The sequence below is a fragment of the Homo sapiens genome, chromosome 11, assembly GCF_000001405.40.
Source record: "Homo sapiens chromosome 11, GRCh38.p14 Primary Assembly".
Lineage (NCBI taxonomy): Eukaryota > Metazoa > Chordata > Mammalia > Primates > Hominidae > Homo > Homo sapiens.
Window position 1 is genome coordinate 46,139,083 of NC_000011.10, and position 6,000 is coordinate 46,145,082.

At 46.7% G+C, this 6,000-nt stretch overlaps 1 pseudogene, besides 1 other annotated feature; it reads left to right on the top strand.

Moving 5' to 3' along the window:
* FBLIM1P2 (FBLIM1 pseudogene 2) lies at positions 3,634-4,281 on the top strand (annotated as a pseudogene).
* Positions 4,126-4,785: an enhancer, noted in NCBI's record as "H3K4me1 hESC enhancer chr11:46164759-46165418 (GRCh37/hg19 assembly coordinates)". NCBI's record gives its function as "activates a minimal SCP1, AML or CMV promoter by ChIP-STARR-seq in naive and primed H9 embryonic stem cells {active_cell/tissue: H9 hESC(naive and primed)}" and the evidence as "EXISTENCE:reporter gene assay evidence [ECO:0000049][PMID:30033119]".

The following is a 6,000-nucleotide window of genomic DNA, read 5'->3' on the forward strand; positions in this document are numbered from 1 at the left end:
ATCTTTTAAAATTTGATCATATCAATAAATAGTCCTCTAGAATATTGCACCAATTTACATTTCACCAATATGTATGAGATAAACTGATTTTCCACACCATCTCCAACATTGGCCATTATCACTCTTTTTTATCTTTGCCAGGCTGAAAATGAGATTTCATTTTGGTTTCAATCTGTAAGACTTTGATTATCAGTGAGGTTGAAGCATGCTTTTATATCTTTATTTGTCCAATTTAGTTTATGAATTACCTATTCATGTGTTTTGCCTATTTTATTTTATAAAAGCATTCTTCTTTCCTTATTGATTGGTAAAAGTCCTTTATATATCAAGGCTATTAACCTTGACGTCTATGTTGAAATTGTTTTTTCTCACTTAGTTCATTGTATCTTTTGCCATAGAAAGTTCTTATTTTTATATATTTGGTGGGTTTTCTTTTGAGATGGGGTCTCATTCTGTCACCCAGGCTGGAGTGCAGTGGCACGATCTCAGCTCACTGGAACCTCTGGCTCCTGGGTTCAAGCTATTCTCCTGCCTCAGCCTCCCGAGTAGTTGGGACTACAGGTGTGTGCCACCAAGCCCAGCTAATTTTTGTATTTTTAGTAGAGACAGGGTTCCCTCATGTTGGCCAGGCTGGTCTCAAACTCCTGACTTCAAGTGATCCACCCACCTCAGCCTCCCAAAGTGTATTTTTATGTATTTGTACCAGCCTGAGCAAACAAAAAGCCAAGTGACGGCCTTAAACCATACAATATTAGCTGTTTAGTTAACCTGAAATTCAGAAGTAGGAGGTCACAGGATTGGTCTGGTGGTTCAGAGATGTCATCAGTCTCTGTATGTCCTTCAGATTTGCCGTTTAGTGTGCGTTGACAGTGCCTCCCCTCAGTGAGACAAAATGCCTGCCACACCTTTGAATATGATATCCTCATACTCTGATTAGGAAGGATGAGGACAAAAAAAAAGAGAGAATAAGGACAAAGAATTTTTTTTGCCATCCCCCAGATCTACTATTTTCATCAGGGAGGAAATTCTTTCCCAGAAGGTCCCAGTAGATTTTTACTTACATCTCACTGGTAACCGGTAGTGTGTGCTGAAATAATCAAACCTGCCAATCACTTCCTCTATGACTTGTGGCTTAACACCACATTACCAAAAGACCTCCCTATCCCCAAATTCTTTTTTCTTTTTTTTTTTTTTTTTTTTTTTTGAGACCAAGTCTCACTGTGTCACCAGGCTGGAGTGCAGTGGCGCAATCTCGGCTCACTGCAACCTCCGCCTCCTGGGTTCAAGCGATTCTCCTGAGTAGGTGGGACTATAGGCGCGTGCCACCACGCCCAGCTAGTTTTTGTATTTTTAGTAGAGATGAGGTTTCACCTTGTTGGCCAGGATGGTCTCTATCTCTTAACCTCGTGATCCACCTGCCTTGGCCTCCCAAAGTGCTGGGATTACAGGCATCAGTCACTGCGCCTGGCCCCCAAATTCTTTTAAAATGTAATCCACTACTATCTCCTAGGACTTTTGAGTTTTTGTTTCTTTGTTTTATTTCCAAATCCTTAAACTATCTGGAATTTATTTAGGAGTATAGTAGGAGACAACTTTACTTTTTTTTCTAAAAGGATATCCGATGTATGGATAACTTTTATTAAATAATCAATATTTTCCCCATCAAGTTGAAATATCATCTTCATTATTTACCAAATTCTCCTAAATTCATGGGTCTACCTCCATGGATCTGTCTTTTCTTGCTCCAGTACCACAATGTTTTTCATCACTACAGTTTCATATCAGGTAGCACAAGTTATTCTTTCTTCGTTATTTTCTTGGCTGTTCTTTATTTGTTTATTCTTCTAGATAAACATTCGGATTAGTTTAACTAGTCCCACCCACCCACCAACGAATGTTTTCTTTAGCATTTTGATTTGACTTACTTTAAACTTATAGATTAACTTTAGAAGGCTTCACATCTTTAACAATATTTAGTCTTTCCTAGCAGGATCTTGGACTGTGCCTCTCCACTTTTCATCTTCTTTTATGCCCTTTAGCAAAGTTTTATCATTTCTTCATAAGTATCTTGCACATTTTTGTTAAGCTTATTTATTTGTATTTTATTTTTTATGCTGATTGTAAATGGGATATCTTATACCAATAGGAAAACTCAAGAAGGATCATTTGTTCATTTCTTAAATATATTCTATTTGGCTGGGCGAGGTGGCTGATGCCTGTAATCCCAGCACTTTGGGAGGCAGGGGCGGGAGGATCACCTGAGGTCAGGAGTTCGAAACCAGCCTGGCCAACATGGCAAAACCGGGTCTCTACTAAAAATACAAAAATTAGCCAGGCGTGGTGGCAGACACCTATAATCCCAGCTACTTGGGAGGCTAAGGCATGAGAATCGCTTGAACCCAGGAAGCAGTGAGCCAAGATCATGCCACTGTGCTCTAGCCTGGGTGACAGAGCAAGACTCTATCTCAAAAAAATAAATAAATAAATAAATAAAATAAAATAGTATACATATATTATATTTGGCTACAATTATTTGAAAATATTCCTTGATTTAATTTGCTCATATTTATTTGTCATTTATTTCCAAGAAAGGTAAGGATGAAATATTTTTATCCTTTGAAGGACTTTTATAATAATGTTTGCAAAGTTTATAAATGAATCAGGGAACTTTCAGTCTTAATATTACTCTAGAAATGTATCATTCAACAAATACAGTAGCCACCAGCCATGTGTGGCAAATGAGCACTTGAAATGTGGCTACAGTGGCCCACTCCTGTAATCCTAGCACTTTGGGAGGCTGAGGCGAGTGGATCCCTTGAGTCTGGGAGTTTGAAACCAGCCTGGGCAACATGGCGAAACCAGTCTCTACTAAAAGTACAAAAAATTAGCTGAGCATGGTGATGCGTGCCTCTAGTCACAGCTACCCGTGAGGCTGAGGTGCCAGAATCACCTGAGCCTAGAAGATCCAGGCCACAGTGAGCTGTGATTACGCCACTGCACTCCAACCTGGGCGACGGAGTGAGACCCTGTATAAAAAAGAAGAAGAAGGAGAAGGAGGAATGTGGCTACTGCCAGTGAAGAACTAAATTTATTTTTATTATTATTTTGAGACAGGGTCTCACTCTGTTGCCCAGGCTGGAGTGCAGTGGTGCATTCATTGCTCACTGAAGCCTCCATCTCCTGGGCTTGAGTGATCCTCCCGCCTCAGCCTCCCAAGTTGCTGGGATTACAAAGCACACACGACCATGCCTGGCTAATTTTTCTTTTTTCTTTTTGTAGGGATGGAGTCTTGCTGTGTTGCTCAGGCTGGTCTTGAACTCCTGGCCTCAAGTGATCCTCCCACCTTGGCCTCTCAAAGTGCTAAGATTACAGGCATGAGCCACTCTCCCTGGACGATGTTATTTATCTTTAACATTTAAACTTAAAAACTGATGTTTGACTTAGTTACTGGAAAACGTTTAAGTATTTTGGAACAATGTAGGTATGTGAATCTGCTTTTCAACTGTAAATTTACTTTATAAAACCTAAGTCTTCAGAGATAAGTATTTCTGATGAAAATTTAGTGTCTGAATTGAGATATGCTGTAAGTATAAAATACACAGGGGTCGGAGCCGCCGGGGCGCGGGCAGCCCGGGGTGTCCACCCCCTCCTCCTGTCCTGGATGGTTAGGACGTGCTTCCCCACCTGGACCTCCTCCCACCCGCTTCACCGCCCCCGCCGGTGCTCCTGCCTTGTGAAGACGAGGCTCCTGCTCCAATGGGGGCCTCACTTATTGCGGACTTAGAGCAGCTGCACCTGCCCCCGTCCCCACCCCCACCACAGGCCCCTGCGGAGAGACCTTCAGTCCAGCCTGGGCCGGATCCCCTCTGGCCCGTGGAAAAAGAGCTGCCGCCTCCCCCAGCAGAGCCTGTTGAGAGAGAGGCGTCCACAGACATCCGTGCCTTCTGCCATAAGACTGTGTCCCCCCAGGAGCTGGCTGTGGAGGCCATGAAGAGGCAGTACCATGTCCAGTTCTTCACGTGCCGTACCTGCCGCCGCCAGCTGGCTGGGCAGAGCTTCTATCAGAAGGATATGCGACCCCTCTGCGAACCCTGCTGCCAGGACACGCTGCAGAAGTGCAGCAAGTGTGGCGAGGTGGTCCGGGACCACATCATCAGGGCCCCGGGCCAGGCCTTCCACCCCGCCTGCTTCACGTGTGTGACCTGCGCCCGGTGCAGCGGGGATGAGAGCTTTGCCCCGGGCAGCCAGAAGGAGGTGTACTGCCTGGACGACTTCTACAGGAAATTTGCCCCCGTCTGCAGCATCTGTGAGAATCCCATCATTCCTCGGGATGGGAAAGATGCCTTCAAAATCGAGTGCACTGGAAGAAACTTCCATGAAAATTGCTACAGGTATGAGGACTGCAGGATCCTCCTGTCTATTGAGCCCACGGACCAAGGCTGCTACCCGCTCAACAACCATCTCTTCTGCAAGGCGTGCCACCTGAAGCAGAGTGCTGCGGGGTGCTGCTGAGAGTGCCCGCCGGGTGTCAGGCAGTGAGCGGACTACTAGTCCCGGCTGGGGCCCTTTCCTGACTTGGTTTCCCTTCCTGACCTGCTCTTGCACACTTTCCTTCTGAGCCTCCATGGGGACCAGCCTGCAAGTCGGCCCAGCCTTTCCAGGACACAGTGGGGCTGAGCGCCGTCAGAACTTCCACTCCTCCTTTACCCTCTGGGCACCAGAAGGTTCCTGGACCATGAGCGTCGCCCCCAGAATTCCTTGCTGGCCCCACCCCACTTCCAGGGGAAAGCTGGGGGGAGTCTGCCGGGGACAATTGGACCCCTAGTGCTGACTGTAGCTGTCTGGTCGGGGTGCTGAGACCAGCATGGCTTTGCACGGTTGAGCTGTTTGAGGAAAAACTCCAAAGTCCCTTAAAAAGTGCTTTTTAGGCTGAACACAGTGGCTCAAGCCTGTAATCCCAGCACTTTGGGAGGCCGAGGTGGGTGGATCACTTGAGGTCAGGAGTTTAAGACCAGCCTGGCCAACACGGTGAAACCCCGTTTCTACTAAAAATACAAAAATTAGTCAGACGTGGTGGCACATGCTTGTAGTCCCAGCTACTTGGGAGGCTGAGGCAGGAGAATTGCTTGAATGTGGGAGGCAAAGGTTGCAGTGAGCTGAGCTTGCACAACTGCATTCCAGCCTGGGCGACAGAGTGAGACTCCATCTCAAAAATTAAAAAAAAGTGCTTTTGAAAATGTTGAAGTTGGCTGGGCGCGGTGGCTAATGCCTATAATCCCAGCACTTTGGGAGGCCGAGGCGGGTGGATCACCTGAGGTCAGGAGTTCGAGACCAGCCTGGCCAACATGGTGAAACTCTGTCTCTACTAAAAATACAAAAAATTAGCCAGTCATGGTGGCAGCTGCCTGTAATCCCAGCTACTAGGGAGGCTGAGGCAGGAGAATGGCTTGAACCCAGGAAGCAGAGGTTGCAGTGAGCCAAGATCGTGCCACTGCACTCCAGCTTGGGCAATAAGAGTGAAACTCCATCTCAAAATTAAAAAAAAAAAAAAGAAAAAGAAAAAGAAAAGAAAATGTTAAGGTTGAAATGATGGGAATCAACATTCTTTGGATTTAGGGGAGGCAGTGTAATAGCAAACACCTCCCCTTGGTTTGCACACGTACAAGAATGGGACCCATTGGGGGCACAGCCCTGGACTTCCTCACTCTGGAATGTGTGGTGCTAAAGTGGGGCTGGGGCCCAGGCCTAGGAGGAGAGGGTGGTCCACAGATACCCCGGGATGTTAGCAGCCCCCAATCTGCCTTCTGGCACCTCCTCCCGGGTGCTGTAGTGAGTCAGCAGGCATGGGGTGAGAGCCTGTTGCATGCTGGGCACAGGGCCGAGTGTGCCTCCTGCAGCCTTGACAGGGGCCATGCACCACCCCACCCCCAAACACACACAAGCACTTCTCCAGGACGGTTCCAGGACAGATGTCCCTTCAGTCCCCTAGTTATGACCCCA